The following is a 24,634-nucleotide window of genomic DNA, read 5'->3' as shown; positions in this document are numbered from 1 at the left end:
CTGGAGGGCTCTGGTGTGGCTCACGCTTGTGTTTGTTCAAGTGACCTGAATGTGCTTCCTCTTTGGGGACCTGTTTCAAATGCACATGCTGACGCCGTAATCATCCACTAAACCAAGTGAGAGTCAGGAAATTCAAATTCGTAGTGCCTGTGACTTGGCCACACTCCCTGTACACATAAAACAAGGTCTTAAATCAGAGAAACTACCATCTAGATTAACACTCAAACTGCAGATGGGGACCGGAGCTGCTCTTGGTGTGGGAACTGCAACTTTGAAGTTCCAGACTTTGATGTGATTAACATTTCAGACTTAAAGTCCTTTCTGTGTGGTAACTTTTTTTTTTTTAAACACCAAACTGAAAATAAAAATTGATTAGATTAGGGGTGTCGGAGAAGCAGATTGTAAAGGGAGGAGCCCTCTTGCAAACCACATGTAACTATGTCACATCCTTATGTGCCTCAGGAAGAGAGAGATGACAGACTAGTGACCTTTCACCATATCTCTTTTACTTATAGCTGTTCTTACAGAGACCCTGCCCTCCAACACACACACCACCTCCAAAAAGAGGACACTTTTGACTTTGCTATCTCTTATTGACCAAGTGATAATCCTGATGGAGAGATGGGGTTTACAGGCATGAGGTGTTCTTTTTTACCCAGATTTCAAGGTTCAAATACTGGAGATCATCTTACAGCCTTCTTCAAATTGTGGCTGATTAAAGTTTAATTCTTCACCTCTGTCTTGCTGGTGAAAGGAATACGAGGGCAGGGAAAGTGGAGTTTGTGGGTCATTCCTCTTTTAAAACGTTGCCATTAAAATTGTAGATAAACCGATACACAGTAGTCCTCCTTTATAGGAGGGAGATAGTTCCAGGACCCACAGTGAGTGCCTGAAACTGGATAGTATCAGACCCTGTGTATACTACGTTTTTCCCTATACCTACATACCTATGATAGTTATACATTAGGCAGAGTAAGAGATTAACAACAATAACTAATAATAAAACAGACCAATAATAACAGTATAATGTAATAAAAGATAGATGAATGTGGTTTCTCTCTCTCTCAAAATATCTTACTGTGTTGTACTGCAGGTAACTCAAAAAGGTGGAAAGTGAAAGCTCAGGGAAGGACTACTGTACATGGAATTGACATCAAGCAAACAAGAAATGTTGTGCCTGGGATGATAAAATTTCTTGGCCACTGAAATTGTTGGGCCAGCCTTCTTTTTGAAAGAAATCTCCTTAGGCATGCTTGCGAACGCACGTGTGTGTATACGTACATATGTGTAACACACACACAAGTCTCTTCTGTTTTCTTAGGTTAAAAACCTGAGGTGTCATCCTGATAATTTCATGGAGACCCTGTAACATTTTTGCCATCATACATGGCACTTTATCTTCGTAGCTGTGTCTGTGATATACTGTCTGCCTGCTGTGCTCTGTCCATTTGAGCTTTCTAGAACCCTGTAGGAGAGGTGGGGAAGCCTGGATTTTGTTGGGGAGATCCAAGGTCTCTATGGCATGACAGCTGATAAATGGAAGATGGATAACTGTAACCCTTGAGTCATTGTGTTTTCTGCTGGCCCTTTCAGTCTACTGACCTTGTTTTCAGTAGGCCTGTAAAAAGGCAGGGCAAAACCTAGCCCTCTAGTAGAGTTTTTATTTTTATTTTTATTTGTTTGTTTATTTATTTATTGAGACAGGGTCTCACTGTGTCTCCCACGCTGGAGTGCAGTGGCGTGATCTTGGCTCAACCCCCGCCTCCTGGGCTCAAACAAACCTCCCACCTCAGCCTCCTCAGTGGCTGAGACTAAAGGCATGCACCACCACACATGGCTCATTTTTTGTATTTTCAGTAGAGACGGGGTTTTGCCATGTTGCCCAGGGTAGTTTTGAACTCCTGGGCTCAAGTGATCCACTCAACTTGGCCTCCCACTGTGCTGGGATTTACAGGCGTGAGCCACTGTGCCCAGCCTAGGTTTTAGGGTTTTTACATTTTACTGTTGACAGTACTGTAGCTGTGATGGGAGGAGGGAAATAACAGGGCTCGTGAGAGAGTGCTGAGCACCGTCCTCTCTCCCAAACACAGCTTCCGTGTGTTTTAGATGTGTTCTTTCCCTATCATGCCATCCATGTTTAGGGGCACAAGAAGAGTCAGGTGAGGAGGGAATGGGCATTTAAGTCCACGTGAACCCCTCTAGCAGGGTTCCCCTCTGCATCACTGTTTCAAGGAGATGGGATAGAATTATGGCGTAACTGTTTTAATGTACGAAATCAGCAGAAGCGATGAATATTTTTATCTTCAAATTTGTATTACACACTGAGGACCTTATATATGATTCTAAATTTATTGGTCATATCCTGAAATACACACTGTGTGTACCTAGTAACCTTGTATTGGTTACAGTGGTGCTGTCTTAAGTTTGTTTATTTGTTTGTTTGTTTTAAATAATGTCTGAACCCACCATAGGGGTAGCACTCTAGCACAGTTTTGGGTAACAAATAAGATTGCATTCTGACATGGTGTCATAAATCATATCTAAAAGCCGTGAGGTCACATAGAACTTGTTTATGTAACAGGGTAGAACAAAACTCATTGTTCTGAGAATATATTGCTCACTCATTTTATCCTCAGTCACGATGAGTTTTACAGCCTATGTGCAGTATTGATGCCACTGAATAAGCATTTATTTTTGATGAAGATACAACTTTTCTCCTCACGTTCAGTTGAGAGTTTGCAACAAGTAAGACTTTGCATTCTGGAATTTATGTAGATGTATGTGTATAGATACATGTGGTTTTTAAGGCCTGGCAACCTTAATGAATACTGGTAGAAGATTTTGGCTGTCTTTTAACAGCATTACCATGTGGTTGACCATTTAAATAAGCAGCAGTTTATCTTGATGTAGTGAATGCATTTAATTGGTTATCCTGGCAAAGCAGGGTATTCGTTGGTTACAAGCATAATTTTCTGAGTTTATATTATTTTTCCTTCTAGATATTTGTGAGCTATTGTTTTTATAGCCTATATTGAAACATGCTTTTTCTTTTTAAAATGGATTGTAGTATAGAGCTTTGTTAATAAAAAAATTTAAAATAAAAATGGTAAGGCAGAATGACTTAGTTATTTTTATATTTTCCTGTAAAAACAGCCTCAGTTAAGTGAGCCACAATGAGCCATGATGTATTTCCTCCATCAGGATGGAAAATAAGCCATTTATTATTTCAGGTCTGACTCACAGTGAACCTGCTGACACTGGGATGTTTTAAAATCATAATCATAAGGAACAGGTTAGGGCAGAAACTTGGACGCTGGGCCTAGGATTACCTGCTTATTACAATGTTTTACAACTTGGATGCTTTAGGTTTTCTGGCACAATGTCCTAAACCTCACACACTAAACACCCCCTTGTTGTACAATTATTGCTTGCTGGTTTTAGATGGTGCCAAATAGACAGATGCCTCATCATAATTACCATTTTTTAAAATTTCACTGTTATAGACATATATAAATAGGTTGTTATCTCCTCTCCCTTCCCTCAGTACAGTATGCTCATGCTTCCACAAAAAGCACCCCGGATGTCCTTAGTTAATAAAAACGGGCAGCTGAGGAGTGAGGGTGTGGCAGGTGGATGCAGCGTGTCCTCAGTGTCGCAGGGTACATAATATTAAATTACATGTGATTGCAAAGGAAAGCAGTTACGTCGAATACAGTTGTGAAAATTGTCGTAGGGTAATAGATGTGCTTCTTTATCAATACATTAAATAATATTTAGTGGCGGGTCACCATAATTTTGAGGTGGAGATGAATAAACAATATTTTGAGTTTTTGACAGCAACTGTAATGTGAAGGCATCCGATTTCTATTGGTGTCAAAGTCACAGGTACTGCCAATACTGTGATGTGTTGCCTACATTCGTAATTGGAAAAAATGCTGAATTTTAATGAGCGGCTCATAAAAATGTGTTTTTTCCTATCCAAGGTCATGAATCCCTTGAGTTCTGTCCATGGGCTCCAGGTTAAAATCCTGGGCCTTGAGGAATTTTTTTCCCCCCCACCCTGAAGAATTTCTTTAGGCGTGAGTTTGAATATATGCAAATAAAGTTTTCCTTGAAGACAGTGCTATTCTACTGGCCTTGGTTCAAAAATAGGAAGACATGTTTAACTCTTGTTTTTATAGTCAATCCTAATTATCTACAGTCCAGAATTGAAGAAATTAGCCTTCATTTTCCTGAGAAAATCACATACTCCTTTGACATCAAAAGAAGGATGCACTGAAACCTGTATTTTCTATGGTTTTGAGTAAACAGACTTACATTTACAAATACTCATGCATAATTCTATACACATTCTAGGCATATTAATACAGTGTAGACTGATATAAAAAATTACATCCTTTCCAAAGTAAGTGTATGCCTCTCCTTTGTAAAACAGAAGGAAGAATAAAGAAAGCAAACAAATTAACCTTGTCATGGCAAGCAGAAGAAAAAAGAAGCAGTAGGCTCCCAGTTTGGTATTCTACCCTCCAGATGACTTTATTGCATAATATGTTTTGTCATCCAAACGTAATTTTATTTCAGGTCTACTGAGCTTCAAAAATTACAAATGATAACGATAATTAATTAAATTTGAGTAGTTTTAATGACATTGAGCTGTGTGCTGGAATGGGAAAATGGCACAATTGAAGGACATTTACATTGAATGTCATTGTTTAAAGTTACCCTGATTTGGAGGCCCATTAAAAATACCAAAAGTCATTGTATTTTAACATTTATTTCAGCTGAAGGTTTTAAAACAGCTTTTAAAAATCTTTAGTACCTGCAGTGAAGATACACGTACCCCCTTCCCACCTATCTCTAGGATCCATCATATGAGCTGAAAATTATCTTTAATAAATTAACCATGATCATGACAAATCTTACTTTACTGCTTTGAAGGAAAAAGGAGGCATTTTGTGACGTGACACTGAAAGGATAACATTTGTTGCCACCCTCTTATATAATACCTACCTTAAGAATCAGGAAAAGCCTTGGAGATGACACTTCAATTTGTAGACAATGTTCTTTTCTGAAGAGAATCTGAAAAAAAGATAGCCTGGAGAAATCAATAAAATGTAAAATAGAAAAAGAATAAGGTGATTGCTACTTTAACAACAAGCTAATACTCTGAGGGGTTACATTAGTGACAGACAAGGAGAAATATGCATTTTTGACTTGAAGGATAACACATTGTATCAGTTAGCTTTTGCTCCATAACAAATAACCCCAAAAGTCTCAGTGGCATGCAACTGTATGTATTTATTTCTTGCTCACATGTATGAGATTCCCTGCAGCAGCCTACTCCATGTGTCTCACTTTGAGGCCTTGGCTGGAAGGTGAGCGACTAGGGTAAGTTCTTCTCATGGTAGTGTCATGTGCAAGAGGGCAAGCCTGACTGTATGAGTATGTTTCAAGTCTCTGCCAGCATCAGATTCCCTAGCATCCCATTAGCCATAGCATCTCTTGAATCAAGAAGGAGAAAAGTGTACTTTACCGACAAGAGGCCATAGAAATACAATTACCAGGGAGTGAAGAATTGGGACCAATAATTCTGTCCTACCACAAATGCTAAAAATGTTAGCAGCTGAGGGTAGCTTTTGGTTATGAGATTATATGGTGGTGTCTTATTGCCTTTGGCTTTTGTCATTTCCTCTGCCCCAAGAAACACTAGTTCAGTTTTTCATATGGATGTTGGACCGAATGTAACACACCATGAGAGACATGTTACTAACAGCTGGGTAAGGGACAAGAAAGAGGGTACGTGAATTGAGGTAAGACTTAAGAGATCTGGGTTCAAAATCTGTTTCAGCAGTGTACCAATTGGGGGAACCCCAGGCAATTCATGTAACCTGTTTCTGTCATGGGCCCCTTGTTCTGTAAAATGAAGATACTGGGCTAGCCCGTCTCCTTAGTTCTTTCTACCACTAGAATTGAGGTTTGATTTCTTATCTGTAGATAACAGGTTTCATTTATTGGCACCTCCATTCTCACCTTTGTGTTGGTGTAGGCTCAAGGCAACAGAATGACTTTAGTAGGCAAATGGGGTTAAGTAAAAACATTGAGTGTATAGAGATGTATTACCTATGTGTACAATACTAAATAGTGTGGAGTAATGACTGTCGAATGCTGTGTTTGGGGTTATAGAATCTCCCCTATAGGCTTTAAGCTCCCTGATAACTTTATTTCCCTCCCTCCCTCCCACCCATCTAGTACAGTGCCTGACTTATAGTAAAGCACTCTAGGAACAAATGGTTGAAGGAAGAAACCCCAAGTGGGAAATTAGTAGGGGAACAATTCCCTAGCCTGAAAGTGTATCCAAGAAGAATGATGTTTTTCTGGTGCTTATATTTATTGCCTAGGATGGACAGCTTTCTGCTTCAGAGGATTGGGAGTGTTCATCCAAGCAAGATTGACATAGACATTTGATGCTGTGTCCCCAGCATTTTGCTAGGCGCTCCGGGTGTAGCACGAGGAAGCATGGTTGCAACGCCCTCCGGTTTTTGTCTGGAAGACAGATGTGTAAACAGAATTGCACTGTGCCTTCTGTACCAGAGGCCCAACCAAGGCATAGAAGAGCCACGTGGGAGACATAGGGAGATCTCACTTGGAAGAAACCTGGGTCTGGTCTTGATTGAGGAGTGGGGAGAAGTTGGGCAGATGTGCGGGCTTATAGAGAGCTTTCTGGGAAGGGTGAAGTGGCACAATATTTTTTGGGGGCCTAACTACAAAGTCTGAAGGGAAAGGCAAAGTGAGACAAAGCTTCAGAGGCAGACAGGGTTAGATCTGAGAGCATTGCATGATATGACTTTGGTCTTTACCTGATAGAAAAAGGAAGTTACTGAGGAATTTAAAGCAGGGTCAGGGATGTGATGAGATAGGAATGGCAATGAGGAAGTTGGATGTGGGAGTTGCAGGGACCTGCAGGCTGCACTATGACTTGGGGAGGATGGAGGGACAGCAGAGGGGCATGAGATGGGCTGACATCTGGCAAGTAGTGTCTAGTATGGACAATCACTCTTACAGCCCTCCTCAGTCGCTTTTGGCACCCTGCCTCTCCCCCAGCCCCACCATAGAAAATAACATGCTGTGCTGTCACTTAAAACCCCCTTTTCATGGCCGGGCGCGGTGGCTTACACCTGGAATCCTGGCATTTTGGGAGGCCGAGGCGGGCGGATCACTTGAGGTCAGGAGTTTGAGGCCAGCCTGGCCAACATGGTGAAACCCCATCTCTACTAAAAATACAAAAATTAGCCAGGTGTGGTGGTGGCACGTGCCTGTAATCCCAGCTACTCAGGAGGCTGAGACAGGAGAATCACTTGAATCTAGGAGGCAGAGGTTGCAGTGAGCTAAGATTGCGCCACTGCACTCCAGCCTGGGTGACAGAGTGAGACTCCATCTCTAAAGAAAAGAAGAAAGAAAGAAAAAGAAAGAAAGAAACCAACCAACCATGTTGCTGGTCCCTGAAGTAGTCCGTTTTAGGCTATATAGCTCTGGGTGATGAGAGAGATATGGTGTAGTCTGTGTTGAAGAGTGATAGAAACTCAGTTTGGAAAACTGTCAACTTGATAGGTTTAAAACCACCTTGGTCACTAAAGTGGTGGAGGTTATTTTGAGCTTCAATTTTTACATTTGCTTTATCTTGCTAGATAACATTTGGAAAAATTGTTATTCTACAGTATTTTGGTTAAGTAGAACAAGCCTTTCAGTAAATTCCACTACATTATTGTTATAATTTTTTTTTTGTCATCCCAGATTAGTTGATATTTGCATTATTACTTGGTCGATGTACGTTTTCTAGATTATTAGGCTCATACCTACTACTTTTCAATACTTGTCAGCTGATAAGAGGTATCTCTTAGTGGTTAGTGTCAGCAGCATTACTGGTATAATTTGTGGCCTTCTTTCACACACTAGTTTTCCACACCTCCAAGCAGGTTCAGGGCTTACGTAGCTACTGATTCATACGTACTGCTGGCAACTGACTAGAGAGGTGGAAAAGGGAGTACCTTGGGGGTTTAGGGGCTAGAAAAGGTCACCATTGGGTTGGAACCAGGAAAAAACAGAGTGCACGCCTATGATGAGCACTGTAGTTTAGGTAGAATTTCAACAGGCTGAGGCTGTATTTTTGGGCCAGATTGAGAGGAGATTCAGGGGGAGGAGCAGCCTGGACAAAGGGGAGGAATTGAGAAGTACAGTGTGGTTGGATTCGTGTGATTGGAGTTAAGGCTGGAGAATTGGGAGCCATGTCCCCATCATTTCTTTTTGAGAGTAGGGAGCTATCGAGTAGGAAATGTGTGTGTGTAATGCTGACGGTAATACTGTTAGGTTAAAGTTTTAAGCACCAACTGTGAGCGCTGGGGTGCTTAGTGTTGTAACAGAGCATCTCCAGGTACTCTGGAATTCTCTCAAAATATCCTGGAATTTTCCTTGATCAGGAAAAAAAATGATATGGTCGAGCAGTGAATTTTAAGAATTTTATTTTTCTATTTATTTACTTCTATAAACATTTGTTAGTAACTGTGTTTTATTATAGAGTTGCCCACGCAGTGTGTGGTTTTGGTGACTAAAAATGAGGATTGGATGACCATTGACTAAAAATATATATTTATATGTATTTTATATATATCAACATATACATATATATGATATATTCAGGTTTTTAAAAGTAAATGATAAAGAACATCACTAATTTTATTTTATTTTTAGTAAATCAGTAAATCAAATATGTACCAGTTTTTAAATTCTGGAAACAAAGATTCCAGGTTTCTATAGCGTTTAACAAATTATTATTCATAGCAAAATCTGCATTCCTGAGGCTGGGAACTAGAGGAAAGGGTTTGTGTCTAATAGGAACCAATTGAATTTTAGAAAGGATGTTAACATATAGCTGTTTTACTGTCTATAATGTTAAATGAATACACTTTTGGCCTCTGTCTAGAAAAAAATAACATCTTAATCTAGTGTGTGATTCTTATACATAAGACTTTTTAGGGATGACAGTAATATTTACAAATAGGTAAAAAAATATAGAGTTGTCTGGTTTAGACTCCTGTTGTCATGGCATGTTTAAAGAAGAAAGCTTCCAGCCGAGAAAGGCTTGTGATGAAGTAGCATCACCTTTCAGTTAGTTCTCTGTAGTATAGATTATGTGTATGTGTCTGCCTGGTCATAGATGCTGGTAGCTAGGTGTCCTTGCCTGATGCCAATATGATTCTGGGCTGAATGCATATGAATCCATTCTAATATAAGTGTAAATAGCACATGGGAAGATAAACCTACCAAGAGAACCACATACAGATCATATGGTTTATTCCAGAGGCAAGAATGATAAAAAAAAAAAAAGATCTGACACCAGACTAATTATGAGATAGTTGAGTGCACTCAGTCATATGTATGCTTTAAATAACATGTAGGTACATGCACATACATATACAGTATCACTATCTAGATTTTTCAAAAGATTGACTTGTAAGAACAAGTGACACACATTTAAAGTGTTAATAGTGCTTCTAGGTGGCATGTCTTGTCTTCTTTTTTTTTTTTCCTTAGTGGAAATTGCAAAATTTAGGCTAATTCTGTCACATTCAATATAAATCACACAGTTAAAAAGCCACTCTGTAGTTTTCCCAGTCTTTGCCCCATTTTGGCACATAATTGTTCGGGATAAATTTCTGTGGCGACACCATCATCTGCTCCAGCTTTCTCACCTGATCTTTGCTTCCCCAGCACACCACATCAACCCCAGTTCTTAATTCCCTTGACAAAACACACTTCATGATTGTATATGGCACTCTGACTGCTAAAGCTAAGCTCTAGTACAGTAGTTGAGTTATAGTTTTCTTGAAACTCAGTTGTGCTTTTTCAGATGTGTTTGTGCAGTAGTAATTGTTTTCCTAAGAAAAAGTTAGTTATTAAATATGAATGTGAAAATAATTATCTTTAGGAAAAACTAAGTTGAACCCCTTGAAAGACTTAAGCTGCTGATAAATTAGTTGCAGTCAGACCCTGTAAGATTAGGGGAAACCATGAAGAACTCTGTAGTTGGATTGATATGAAAGGGGTTCAGTTGGATTCCTCTTACACTTGAAAGAAACCCAAATTGTAAATCTGTGGTGACAATATACTGTGGGTTTAGGGTTTATAAGAAAGAATGGAAGCCTAGCCAGAGTATCTTGGTTCAAAGGTTTGCTGTACCTCAAGCACAGTTTCCTGTATATTTTTAAGGCAAATGTTTAAGGAATACATATATATGTACACACACACATGTACAGACACACACACATATATAAGGTATACATACTTTTTATTTATAATATATGTATATATTTAAAATCCTGTGCTTTAACTCAACCTTTTTTTTTTTTTTTTTTTTTGGATTCATCTGCCAACTAGGGTCTCCATCTGGTTTGGATTGGATTGAGATTGGATAACACCTTTCCACCTAATAGCAGCATTAAGAGCATTGACTGCCAAAAGCCATAGCTAACCTACTTTCTTTAGGATACATATTGTTTCTCCTCATTACCCTGTAATAAAATAAGATTTATCTTAAGCATGTCCTGAGAGAAGCCTAAAATGGAAATACACGGTACAGGCATCGTAAGCTGGGAGAGACCTGAAGGACCATTGGCAGCCCCCTGAATTGTAACTGAGGAAATGGCTCTGTCAGATTGAGATCTGCATTAGTGGCCTAGTTGTGGAGTGACGTAGGGAGTGAGTGTATGAGCAGAGCATGTGTGGTGTTCATTCCCATCCATCCATCACTCATCCTACATGAAGTTGCCTCTGGATTGGGACCTTGAACTCTACTAATTTTATGGTAGTGTAACTTGCAGAAGACTTACCAGGTAGGTGAGCTTGGTAGTATGTTTTGTTTTGTTTTGCATTTGGGACCATCTTCACATGTGTCAACTAAGAAGGATTTGCTGCTAACCTATACCTAAATCTCTGACACAAATCCTGGAAAAGCCTTAAATGATTGGCAGGTAGTGTTGAAAGGTGCTGTATCAGGGTTTTGTAAATCATGCCATCTAGATAGAATGCATTGTGTTGGAATGAAATTAAAACAACCATTTTAAAAAATGTAAATGACCTTGGGTAGAAAAACACGAGCATTAAGCTGTATTAGCAGGTGAAGATAAATCTCTCCCCCTTCATGTTTGAAATAATCTTTTACATTGTTTATGTGAATTTCTTTCTTTTTTTCGGGTACATTGATTATGTATCTTCCCCCACCCTCCACATTTAATCCCCTAAGGGATCGGTATTAATGAGTTTTATGCTTTGAATTTTAAAATTTTCTTGTCCTCAAAAGTGAGACTGGGGAAAAAGAGAAAAGACTTTAAACATTTTCTTTGAAAGCTTTTAGTTATCTCATATACCTATTCCTTTTGAAAATTTCTCTGTGGATAGCCGGCTTAGTTTCTTGCAAATGACTAATTTAAATGCCATAGAACATGTTTAGATTCACTGTCACATGGTTGTTCTTGCTACATTTCTTTTGCTCAGATTCATCTTCAGAAAGTGAGGGAGGGGGAAAGCATATTAAGCATATTATTCCTGCAATTAAGGCATAGATTGGCTACTTAATTTGTAGTTAGTAAAAAACTACTGTGATGGAACTCAAAATATTAATAAATTGAGAAAACCAGAATGCTTGTCTTTTGCTTTAGTGATGGGACTAAGGTTTACATGAATCTTTCTATGTCATGTAGTTTCAGCTAGTGCCTCTTGGCTCTGAAAGCTATGCATATGTAATTTCATTATTATTGATAACATAGTACCTCTCTAGAGAGTTCTAGTTACTGTATTTTTAAAATGCAAACATTTGAAAATGTAGATACAATTCTATTTTTTAAAATTAATAGGTCTGAACTGGGATCTTTGGTGATATTTCCATTTCAAAGTATTTATCAAATCAAGACATTAGTGGTAAAACAGTACTAGTACAAAGATGCTTAGGTATTGCTCTATATTTTTCAAAAGAATAACAAAGCAAGAACAACATCTTTTAGAAACGTGTCTAAAAAGGTGCCAATGTGACCAAAAAACCCATTTAATCACTGAGAATTTTAACAGAAATTTTTTAAAGTATTATATTGCAGGATCAATATTTAGTATATTGGACAATTCAGAAGATTTATTCAGGTTTGCTTGGGGATTGAGAACAAATACGTGTTTAAATCTGTATGTATAATTTAAAAATATTAGAGAAAATTTGAAAAATAGGGAAGAGTCAGCCATATTGTTTTAATTAAACAAAATGACTGCTTCTGTTTTAGCAGTGCTTCCACTTTGTTTTCTATGCGTTATCTTTTTGAAGCCACTGGTTAATGTATGTATAAAGCTTGCCAGCTTGTTTTTGATTAACAAAGTTCAGTCAGTGAATAATGTAAAATACTATTAACAGCATAACTGGAAAGTGACTTGAGCACATAAAAATCACCTTTAAGTCCAAAGTTAAATTCTTGTTTTTATGTTATTTATTGTTTTTATTTAGAGAAGAGATACGTGCCTCATCTTAGGAATTCTCATTTAATATCCTTCAAAGACTGGGCTTTAATGAACAAATTTGTCATGTGGCAGAAGTTACTGTAGTCTGATGAAAGGGAAGATGGCTGCAAAGAAGAGAAAACGGGTGGTGGGGGGCATTGAGGTATAATAATCTGTGGCTGTGGGATGGTTTTCGACAGACCAGTCATAGCCCAGACTCATGTTTCCAAACATACATTAACTGCAAACCCTGATCTCAGGTTTTATGTTTTTCCATCACTTTTTAGCTTTAATTTGTAGTAGATTGCTTGAGGAAAGACCCCTGTTGATTGGTTGTAATCATCTAAGATTTATGATGATTAGGAAGTCTAAATAAAAGTCTGTTAGATCCAATTTGGACATAAATTTTGAATGCCCAGTTTATTGGATTGCCTTGAAATTCTAATTGGTAATATGCAAATCGAGTTAGAGTCTTGACTATCAAAATCACCTTAGGACTAAATTAGACAGTTTGGAAGCTCCATTAACTCTTTCAGAGTACTGAACTACTATTTAGTCTACCCAAACAGTAATTTACTAAGTTTAGCATACCCAGACAGTAATTTGCAAAGTAATACTTTGAAGATGCTGGAAGGAGTTAATGAAGCTTCTGAAATATTGTGTTTTTTGGGAGAATCTGACTCAGCATTTGCAGTAGTTGGAGTTGAGAAAGGGCGTCTTTAAATTTTGGATGCCTAATTGGCAGGAATTGTTGCTAATGCTACAGTCTTTGATTTTTATCATACTCCTACGCTCTTCCTGTCATGTTGCAGACTCCTTTTACTAATCTATGTGAGTGCCCCCCAAGGTAAAGCCCCTGTGCACTTCCGTGGTGATGCCTTCTGACTGGTTCAGCCTGTCACCTTGACACACACACAGATGGTTTCTGGAGGCCGATTTAATTCCAGCTATCTTGTTCTTCACCTCTCGTGTCCATTTCTCTCCATCTTTTCTCCTGAGCTTTGGTCTAATTTGTCAACTCAGTGGGGACCAGTTGGCTGGCTGTTGCCTTGAACTTGTCTTCCTCTTTGAAATGGGTTTCTCCTCCTGAAGTCATCAGGTTTTGAATAGCACTTACCATAATTTTTTAGGTGAGGATAGTTTTCAGCGCTGGGTCAGTGGGAAAAACTCCAGTTCAACTCTGTTGCCTCCACAGTAGAGCATGGAGTTGAAGCTTCTTGGAGTTTTCCTCTTTCTCTTCCCCTGGTTGGCTGGAACCATTTCATCATTTCATACTTGGGTCACTACACTGGTCTTTTCATCGGCTTGCTGCCTCCAGTTTCCTCCTTCACTCTGCTGTGGGCAAGATGACACATCACTTTAATTATAACATTTCACCTCCTGAAGCATCTTCAGACACTCTGCTACTTTGAGGATAAAATCTAAATCCTTTTGCTGGGCATCAAGACCACTCACCATCTGAAAGGCCCATCTTTCCAGCTTCCTTTCCTACAGATTCCTCTACCACCCCTCCGAGGCCGGAGGAGGGGCACTCCCTCCCTTTGAGGTATTTTACACTTTTCTGTGCTCCTAGCAGGGCATCCCTTTTCCGTACCCACCCTATCTAGAACCACTCAATGAAAAAAGCCAGGCTCACAAAGACACATGCCACACGATTCCATTTGTATAAATTTCAATAAACAAAACGAACATAAGTGCTAGTAAGTGACAGTACCTGTGAGTGGTGGTTTCACAGGGTCCACGTACAAAACTTCGTCCAGCTGTACACAGCCCATTTGAGCCTTTGGCTGTGTGTAAATTAGACCTCAGTAAAACAGTGCCAATCGTGTAAGGCTGTGGTGAGGCTTAAATTATATAGTGTAGTATATAAAATGCTGAGGGCAAGGCCTGGCATGTGGGGGAAATCCCATCTCTTTTAGACAGAAGCAGTCGCTCTCATTCTGAATTGTATAGTAGATAAATTCTTCCCTGACAAGACTAACTCTGCAAACAGACCTTGGAAGCTTTTTTTTTTTTTCAGCGTGTTTTTCACTTGACTTTTATTGCCATGTTTTGTTCAGTTGGTATCTTTGGTTTAATGTGGATATACTTGTTTTTTTTTTTTCTTGTTTATAGTGTAAATTTTTGATCAATAGAAATAATGGCAGTAGGGTGTGTTGTAGAAAGCTCTTAATGGAATAAGCAATTCTCCCTTCCCCCAAAACATTGTACATATCAAAAAGAACTTTATCTTAAAAGTGTTTCATACAACAAACAAGATTTATTTTCCCAAGTCATCTAGTTACCAGAGAAGCATCCATAAATGGTACTTAGTAGGAAGACATATGACTAAGGAAGACTTTCTTAATTGAGCTGTGAAAATGAAATAATAAACCATTTTGCGAGATGGCAAACTTCAGTGTATATATTAATCACCTGGGGATCTTGTCAGTTCTGATTTAGTAGGTCTGGGCTGAAGCCCAAGGTCCTGCATTTGTAACCAGCTCCTAGTGATGCCAGTGCTGCTGGCCTCAGAACCACACTGGGAGTAGAGCAGAGCTGGGGGTGTATTCAGGTTCAGAGATGGGACATTAGGAAGGGCAAAACAAGAACTTAGCTCATAAAAACCACCCCACAAATTTGGGTGGGTAGTGACCTTGTGAACCACATATATGTAAATATTCCTGAAAGAATCTATTCAAGAAAGTATCAACTTGTGTTTTAAAGTTTTGATGTTGTGTGATTTTTTTTTTGTGCTAGTGGAAAAGACTGGTTGATTTCATTAGTTTGTTTTTGTTCATTCGTTTGTTTTTGTTCCCTCTTGCAAATAATATATCAGAAATGGTCATGAATTCAATCAGAATTTTAGGGAAAGAAATTTATTTGTGTGAATGCCCCTTCTTTAAAGAAACAGTAACAACATCAACAGAAAAGCCCCAAAAACTGAACTAAAAACTACCATCCTGCCCATTTGTTACTGTATTTAATGCATCATACTTGACAAAGTTGCTACCCTGTGCCATATTCCACCTGAAGAGCCAGTTTCGCCGGTGTTCTGTCTGCTCACTTAACCATGAGTAGATTTCCATTTCCCTCCTCTGAACTGGGGCCTCTTTCATTCGCTTGTTCCGTTTTGCCTATCACAGTCTTGACTTGGTAGAGGATTTTATTCCCTGTCAGTCTTCAACCTCTGTTAGCCTATGATTTGAAACTGAGAAAAGTCCAAGTTGGAAATTGAAAACGAGAGCCCGATTCTCTGAGGCTGGGAAAGCCTCTGAGGACTTGGCCCGAGCACCGCCCGCCACCATAACAGGTTAACAGGAAGAATGTGGCTCTGCCTGCCGGCTCCTGGGCACATTCCTTTCTGTTTGGGGACTGAAGTACTGGACACACACATTATTAAATTACTTAATGAAGATTTTGAAGCACACCTCTAATCCCTTTGAAAAGGCCCTTTGAGCTGGAGAAGGGTGTGTGGGCAGTGAGAGAGAGGCGCCTTCACCCTGGTGAACAGGGCCCCTTAGAAGCTCCCAGGGTGCGAGTCAGCAGCGTTCCAAGGCTGACCATTACTTTCTGCCCTGAATTGGCAGAAGAGACTTAGGGGAAAGTTCTTTCTAGGGCAGGACCCTTCACCGGGGGAAGATGTAGGGTTTAGGCTCCAACCTTGACTCAGCATTGCCATTTACCATTTTGGCACAGGACCTTGTTGAAGCCATGACTAAGGGCCTCCAGGTGGTGGGCTGTCCTTTACAGGTCCTGATCACAGTTAGGGATGCAGCTCGGACTGATAAAAAAGGGCCTTGGGCTCTGTCAGAAATGTGTGTAGTTGAATTACATAGGTGATTCTGATAATAAAGATGTTTTTGTGTTCCCACTACCCTCTTATTGGGAAGATGTCTGCCTTAGAAAATAAGAGAACAGGCTCCAAGGCTGGGTGACCAGGAACTCATCTCTGGCAACAAACTCCAATAGCCTTTGTCTTTATCTGTGGTAATAATAATTATAATAGTCCTAATACATTCTGGGGTTATGGTGGTGATTGATTGAGAATGTATAAGGAAAGACTAGATATTAAAGCATTAATCACGTGTAACTGTCTGTAAACAGCGGTTTTGTAGTTTTTTGCTTTTAGTAAATAGGCTCCCCCGTGTGATCAATACTAAACTGACAGCAAAAGAGCAGTCCATTCTTATTAGACCATGCTTGGGGAGATAAGTTGCTGCTGGCTCATGAAGGACACATTCTTCTTGATGTAGGGAGGTGGAATGAGGATTTAGGCGCTGTCTTCCTCCCCTTTGGGGTAGGGTACCTTGCTGTCTTTTGACAGAATGAGGATGAGAGGAGGTGGTAGGAAGGCGGGGGAGGATCAGTGATGAGATGGCACTGGGGACAGTGGAGAGAATGGTTGTGCATATGATTTACGGTCTTTCTTTTCAGTATACTACAGTGCTTAGATGTGTATGCAGAAATCAAGAGTTATCAGTGATGTTTGAAAATTAGATGTTGCTGGCATGGAACTTCCGTTTTCATTGAGAACAGAGCGTGCTTAGTGACGTGTATATTTAGTACAGTAAGACAGTTGCAGAAGGATGGCCCTGATGGTGACAGTGATAATCCTAACCCTAGATGCTCACTGGCTGGGCACAAGTACAGGATCTCACTGGAACCTCACTAGGTATCTGTTGTCCTCCTTTTATAGTTGAGAAAGAGAAAGCTTAAGTAATTTGCCCAAGATCATGTAACTAATAACTGGCAGGGATTTGAGTCAGGATCTCCAAAGCTACATCTCTTCCTAAAGCTAGTTTTAAAATTTCATTTCTCATATATGGAGTAGCCCACAAAGGCTGTATGCAAGGTAGTCTTCAGAAAGCTTACATCTTCACCAAGGCACATGAAACTGCAGAAAGAAGCAATGTTAGGCGTTCCTGATAATAATTATCTGCCTGGATGACAGCAGTCCTGCTTTATGGTCACAGACCCCAGCTTTCTGCCAGAACATGGCTCAGGACTCCTGAAAATCATCCCATTCGGGAGCAAGTGGGTTTAATTTCCTTTTCATGAAAGGAAAGATTAGCTTTCATGCAAACACTTGGTCCATTTGGCCATTTAATAAGAAGACTGAAGTCTCATGTTCCATAACTTTATCAGCCTAAAAGTCCCTTTGTTGTATCATAAACACATAGGCTGAAACCCCTGTCCTTCCAACTCAGAGCAAATTCTGTTGTATTAAATAACCATGCCATGTACTGAATGTTTTTACACTTATTTATTGGACTTGACTCCTACCTCCTTCCCGCAAAAAAAAAAAAAAAAAAAATTAGCTGACATTTCTACAGGGCCTACGACTAACCAGAGGGAAAGAGACTCACATGTCACTGTTTGTAGCCAGCAGTCCAAATTGTGAAATAAACATACTTTGAAATGTGGTCATAAAATACCTCCTGTATTTTATGGCCCACAGAGAAATGACAAATGTTTGAGGTGATATGCTCAGAAGAGCATAGAAGTGATCAGGGTGGGTCATTTTGTTAACCGTTCAAGGATGGAGATTCTGTGTTCAAGGAATCAGAGGAAATTGTGAATTTATTTGAATTTCTGTTACTGTTCACTTGATAATTTTATAGTTGTCTTAGTGGCCCTTCTAACAGAATATGCCCCTTTATGAAATATTACCACCCCTGCCCCGTTTTACCCTGATTTGATCATTATACACTGTATACATGTATCATAGTGTTACTCAGTACTCCATAATTATGTTTAATTATCATGTGTCAGTTTAGATAAAATTGTAGCATGGACCATTGACATCAGTATCACCAGGAAATCTCAGGCCCACCCCCAGACAATACTGAACGAGGATCTGCGTTTTGACAGGATAGATAGATCCCTGATGATCCCTTGTATGTTCAAGTATGAGAAGCACTGATTTTTATGGTACTCAGTCCCCCTCCAACTTACTGGTTAGGCTTATAGAATGGAGGCTTTATTCTTTACAAAGTGTGTCAAGCTCTTTTAAAGCTAGGCTTTAGAGAACAAAAGTCCAAGTGTACCTGTTTAGCATCAGGGCTGTTTTGCATTTCTAGCAAAGTCTGACTTATTAAACCTCCTAATCGCTCCATCTCAGTTTTTTCTGTTTACGTTGTATTTCATTTGCAATGTGAAGCTATTAGGATGTTCCTTTTGTGAGGGAAAAGGAGGGATAGATTCCATCTTAGTTCTCATAAAAGTATAAAAATCAAAACCAAATAAGCATATATAAAGTCTACTGTATGCTGGTGCGGTGGCTCATACCTATAATCTCAGCACTTTGGGAGGTCAAAGTAGGAGGGTCGCTTGAGCCCAGAAGTTTGAGACTAGTCTGGGCAACATAGTGAGACCTTGTCTCTAGAAAAAATAAAAGAAATTAGCTGGCTTGGTGGCTTGCACCTGTAGTCCTAGCTACTTGGGAGGCTGAGGCAAGAGGATAGCTTGAGCCTAGGAGTTGGAAGCTGCAAGTGAGCCATGATTGTACCACTGCATTCCAGCCTGGGTGTCAGAGCAAGACCCTGTCTCTAAAACAGAATCTCCTGTAGATGGCATGGAGGAGAGAAGCCCGTGTGTATTATCCAGAACCCTCGCTCCCTGACGCCTTCTCCCCTGCCTTCATCTTGTGCTCTTTATTGGAGAAAAGTGTGAGGTGAACGCACAGAAAGGTGCTCCCCACTGTGGCAGGTTGAACGTTTGTTTTTGTTAATTAATGTCCATGCATTCTGCTCTTTCAGTAACTAGATTTAGGTAACCTGGGCCTGTTTCCCATCACTTCCTGGCCTTGTGACTGGGCAAATAACTTTGTCTCCCTGGGCCTCAGTTTCCTTAACCCTGAAATGAAGGGGTTAGATTCCAGCGCTTTGCATTCTCTGGCCAGCTCTTGAGCACCTGCGACTCCTTCCTGCTCTTCAGTTCTTCCTCCATCCTGGCTGACTTTTGCTTGGCTCCCGCTGCCCCCATTGGCCCCCTTAAACTCCAGAAGAGCATAGAAGTGATCAGGTGGGTCTTTTTGTTCACTATCCATTAACTTTTCAAGGAGGGAGATGCTGTGTTCAAGGAGTCAGAGGTGAAATTGTGAGTTTATCTGATTTTCTGTTCACTTGATAATTATATAGTTGACTTGGAAGTGTTTCAAACTGAAGATATTCCTTAATGAAATATGACCTCCCCACTGCCCCATCTTTAGGGAATGGCATTCACCAAATCCTTTCAAATTCAGAGAAATTAGAAAACCTTGGATCATTTTAGTATTAAATTTAGTCTTAAAATTGTGGGTGGTTGTCAAATCAGACCTCGTCTAAGGGGACCTCATTAGGCAGTTCTCTATAATGGTGACAGGGTGGCTTAAAATGTCTTAACTAAATGCAAATTATCTCAGAGCCAAAAGTTGAGCACTTGAAAGCCAATGAAATATCTATTTAAGGAGCACAGAAGGATGTCAGAGAAGGATCCAAAGTCCTGATTTTTTTGTTACATTATATTGGGGTAGATTTACTGCAAGCCAGAGGATTCTTTACGTAATTAACTCCCATTTGAAAAAATAGCAAACAATAAAACTATTTTTTTTCCCTTTACCTTTGGTATAAATAGAACTAAGCCATAGGTTGGTATGTTTAGTAAGTAATAGGTATTAAGTAAGTAATATGTATTACTTACATTTTACCATAGTTGAAGTGTGAACTTGAAATATTTTTAAAGCACAGTCTACAGTGGTAAGAACTTTTCTTTGCTGCAGTTTTAGATTACCTAGGAAGAAGACAGTGACATCCTGGAATGATTGTAAATTGGTGCTTGAAACCCTGGAAGTGAACTGTTTTCCAGTGGCAGGATGATGTGAGGTTCAATACTTCTCCCCTTTGAGTCTTAGATTTTAAATAGTCTAATTCCAAAATATTTCCTTAGGCTGGACACGGTGGCTCATGCCTGTAATTCTAGCACTTTGTGAGGCCATTGTGGGCGGATCACTTGATCCCAGGAGTTCGAGACCAGCCTGGGCAACATAGGGAGACCCTGTCTCTATAAAAAAAACCAACAAAAATTAGCCAGGCGTGGTGACATGTGCCTATGGTCCCAGCTATTCGGGAGGCTGAGGTGGGGCCATCACCTGAGCCTGGGAGTTTGAGGCTGCAGTAAGCAATGATCACGCCACTGCACTCCAATGTGGGTGACAGAGTGAGACCCTGTCTCAGAAACAAAACAAAACAAAAAAGCCCCCAAAACAAAATGCTTCCCTTTATTCTTGAGGCATAGTTGATGTTTTAATGGTGTTATAAACATAATTATTATCTTATATAGGCTGTGAAGTGATTGCTTATTGGTTTGGTACTAGAAACCATATACCTTTAATTATGTTTGATCATGTGAGACCCAGAAATGCCTCCTGTACACGCCTTTACCATTTCTTGGGAAGACAATAGGGGCCTGCCATCACTGTGAAGCAATAAAGTGTAAAGGATTGGAAAATAGGGATTGGGATTATTGAAACTGGAAAAAGTGAGGGAGTAATTTAAATTCTGTTTTAGTTATTAAAAGTCTGGTTTCCTGACTGTGCTAAGTATTGCAGAAAGACAAAGTGTGAGACAAAATATTTAGATCTTCAGGAGCTTACATTCAAGACAAGGTTAACCTGATGCTGTAGTTCTGGTTGTGTTCCTCCAAGAGGCAGGAGAGGAGAATTGGAGATATTCAGAACATGTTTGGGAGGAATGTAGTAATCAGGGCACCCTTCTGGTTTAAGTTGTCTTTTCTGCTTCGCTGCTATTCAGAAAGTGAAAAGCTTTGTTCTGGAACTTTGAGATATAGATGGGTCTTTTGCTTTTAATAATTTAAGGTAACTCCTTCAAAGATATTGCAGGTCTAGTTCACAAAACAAATTGTACAGTGAGCTGAGAGCAACTTTCTCTGTCCTGAGTTTTGATGAAGTTGTTTTTTTTAAATCATGATCAGGATACAGGTCCTCAATTAGTTTGTCTGGAATTTAGTAAGCGGAGTGCTGGAGATTGGAGATCAGAGTAGCATGAAGATTGAATAAGATGGGGATTGCACATTCTGGTTTACCCAGTTTGGAAGAGTAATGCATAGGTAATATACAGGTTGTGTTGATGGGTGAGGATACAGATGTCACAGTTTGTGAGAATTCAAGTGTAGTGATTTATTTCATTTAATCTACTGGCAGAGCTCTAATTTACTTATGGAGCTGTAGAAACAAAAAATTTCTAATAGGGCTGAGTGCGGTGGCTCACGTCTGTAATCTCAGCACTTTGGGAGGTCAAGGCGGGTGGATCACTTGAGGCCCGGAACTCGAGACCAGCCTGACCAACATCATGAGACCCTGTCTCTACTAAGAATGCAAAAATTAGCCTGGCGTGGTGGCACACAGCTGTAAAAATATCTCAGCTACTCAGGAGGCTGAGGTATGAGAATTGCTTGGACCTGGGAGGTGGAGGTTGCAGTGAGCCAAGATCGAGCCACCTCACTCTAGCCTGGGCGATAGAGTGAGACTCTGTCTCAAAAAATATATATATTTTTAGTAGTTTTTGCTATAGTTTTATGAAAGTAACAAGACTAGTAAAATTATAAAACAATTGGCCTTTATGGTCTAAAGCGTTCTTATTTATAGCCACCCAGAATGTATCATCTGCTAGTCTCCACTCTGCTGTCTGTCCTTTCCATCATCCCTCTTGGGCGCCCTACCTGGCTGGCCTGCCCAGTAAGTATGGCACCAGGTTTCCTGTTCTGGGCCTCTGGCTGCTTTGTACTTCTCCATTCCTGGAGGTCTCTGGACCTTCAGCTGCTCAAAATTCAATTGCACCAACTTTGACTGAAGTGCACTGCTGATGATCCTTCTCTTTGTGAGCCTTGCCTCTTCCCTATGAGCTACTTTCTGCCTAGACCTCCTCATGGTGCCGTGTCCAGAACGTGGGAGCCACCCGGCTAGGAAACTCAACACTGCTGCCCTCCTAGCAGTAGCAGCAAGCTACAGCTTGCCCCCTTTCAAGGTGTTTGACCCTGTTGGATTTCTCATTGCTCCCCTTCTTGCTTTGTATTTTTTTTGGCAGGAAGAGTCTCTTTTATTTCTGAGCTGATTTGCAGATCAGAAACGATGGACCTCTGTTGAACTCTGAAGCAGTCCTCCCTCTCCACTTGGGACTGCTAGTCCTCTTGCCTTTGGTATAAAGGGGTCCTCCATCTGTCCCCAGGCCCCATCCTCCGAGAGGCCTTCCAGAACCTGAGCATTGTGTTTTTCTTTTTCAATACTTTAGTACCTTAGAAACCAGAAAGTGATAAATGAGGAGAGTAGGTATGAAGTAGAAGAGGATTTTGATGGCCAGCTCGTAAAGTGTAGCGTTAAGTGAAACATTGTGATGTGAACAATTTGGTATTTTTGAAAGTCCTAATGCTACTTGTACCAGGTGAAATGTTTAAATCTCTCTCAAGCCCCTAGCATTTTGATATTCTTAAAAAAGAAAAAAAAAGCCACACAGAAGGCATTAGTCCAGCGTGGTATGTTATTGAAACTGGAACGATATTGCAGCATATCTCCACATCTCCCGTTGACGGCAAAGCTGAGCCAGTGAAACAGGTGTGAGCCTTTGAGACTGCTGGGATAACCCATGCTGTGGAGATGGAAAACTAAACTTTTGAGTGAGTTTTCTGGTTTATTGGGATTCATCCTTGGTATATCAGCAGTTGTGGTTTCAAGGTTCCATATTTTAGTTCTTGTTCCACTTGATGGAACACTTGACATCTATCCTCTTCTGTAACTCCGCAAGAGGGGCATTTGGTTAATGGTCATTTTGGAAAGAAAGCTATTTTGGGGACAGTAATTGCCTGGAGTCTTTATGTAAGAAGAGACCGAAGAGTCTTAGCAAGGAGAAGGTTTCTGTTTGCGGCATTTGGCCCATAGTATAGTACACATTCCTGTTGTGTTGTTTTGTTTGCATCATTGGGCTTAGATGTTATTAGATATTACTAGTCTAATCCAATTCCTTGTTCTTGGAGAATAGGTTTCTTGTTTATCTGAATGGCTTTTCTTTGCGTCACTATGCCAGAATAGTCATTCTTGGACAGAAATGATGGTTTTAAAATCTCTCTTACATTTTAAGACCTGCTCTAGGGGTTGTAAAATAGTACTGCTGTTATTGGGAGGAGTTGGGTAGGGGCCACAGCAGCAGGGAGAGAGAGGCTCCCATCGTACAAACTTGCAGACTTTTATTAAAACGTATTTATTGATTGCAAATTATGTCAACAGAGTGAGGCTTTGGTAACTCTTCAAGTTACTAGTGTTTCCTTCTTTGCATAGTTGTTTCCCATCACCCTTTAAACATCTGCTGCTTCTGGTCTTGTCCAGTCATGCTTGAGTGATCAGCCCCAGAAGTCTGACAGCTCTTCCTGTCTTGACTCAGGACAGTCCAGGACAGCTGAGCTCCCTGCACTGAAACAATGGGACTCCTGAAAACTGCTCTGCTGTTGACATGAGAAGCACATTTCCTCTTTCTTAACTTCCAGAAAGTTACTGTGGTGGCTTTGAAATTTGTTCTGAAACAATAAGCTCAAAGGATTCTGTTAATCTATTCTGATTAATTTAGGAGGCAGCAGCATTCATTATTTGACTTATGTTAGTGGTTAATTAACCAAAGTAGAACATGTTCACTTTTTATAAATTAAATGCTGATAGAGTAACAAAGACGAAATATTTTACAACACAGATCCTTGAATTTGACTCTGAAATATTCTGTTATTTTGCAGCAGTTTCCGGTTTTAGTGACACTTACATACTGTTTCTATTATTAGCAAGTTTTGAATTTAAGTAACTTGAAATGGATATGAAAGTTGTTTCTATAAATAATACAGACTGTACTCATGTGAGAGTTTTTTTTCTTTAATTTCATTGTTGGCCTTGATTGGGGAGAAGATTTATATTTTATGCCAGTCTTTTCTTGTTTAGAATTGGCAAGAATTGGATTGAGTTGTATTAAACTGTTTATGTGAATAGATAGTTACTTTTGAGATGTCTTTGAATGTAGAATATTCTTGCAGCCATTTCTTGATGGTCTGCCTTGACTGTCTTATGGACAGTTGGCATCAGTGACACTTT

At 39.9% G+C, this 24,634-nt stretch overlaps 1 protein-coding gene across 4 annotated transcripts in view, besides 3 other annotated features; it reads left to right on the top strand.

Moving 5' to 3' along the window:
- FOXO1 (forkhead box O1) overlaps nt 1-24,634 on the top strand; it is a 110,975-nt gene that overhangs the window by 52,876 nt on the left and 33,465 nt on the right. Inside the window, exon 1 of one of the 4 annotated variants that reach the window (XM_011535010.3) lies at nt 10,414-24,634. This exon is cut by the window's right edge and continues 26,443 nt beyond it. The exons of the other annotated variants lie outside the window; for them this stretch is intronic. The gene's annotated coding sequence lies outside the window, so the exon portion shown is untranslated. Of the gene's footprint in view, nt 1-10,413 lie in introns of those variants that run through there. 4 annotated transcript variants of the gene reach the window in all.
- Nucleotides 421-470: an enhancer, noted in NCBI's record as "active region_7611". NCBI's record gives its function as "activates an Ori minimal core promoter by ATAC-STARR-seq in GM12878 lymphoblastoid cells {active_cell/tissue: GM12878}" and the evidence as "EXISTENCE:reporter gene assay evidence [ECO:0000049][PMID:35858748]".
- Nucleotides 23,748-23,987: an enhancer, noted in NCBI's record as "active region_7610". NCBI's record gives its function as "activates an Ori minimal core promoter by ATAC-STARR-seq in GM12878 lymphoblastoid cells {active_cell/tissue: GM12878}" and the evidence as "EXISTENCE:reporter gene assay evidence [ECO:0000049][PMID:35858748]".
- Nucleotides 23,998-24,057: an enhancer, noted in NCBI's record as "active region_7609". NCBI's record gives its function as "activates an Ori minimal core promoter by ATAC-STARR-seq in GM12878 lymphoblastoid cells {active_cell/tissue: GM12878}" and the evidence as "EXISTENCE:reporter gene assay evidence [ECO:0000049][PMID:35858748]".

This window comes from Homo sapiens, chromosome 13 (assembly GCF_000001405.40).
Source record: "Homo sapiens chromosome 13, GRCh38.p14 Primary Assembly".
Taxonomy (NCBI): Eukaryota; Metazoa; Chordata; class Mammalia; order Primates; family Hominidae; genus Homo; species Homo sapiens.
This window is presented reverse-complemented; position numbering and strand designations above follow the sequence as displayed.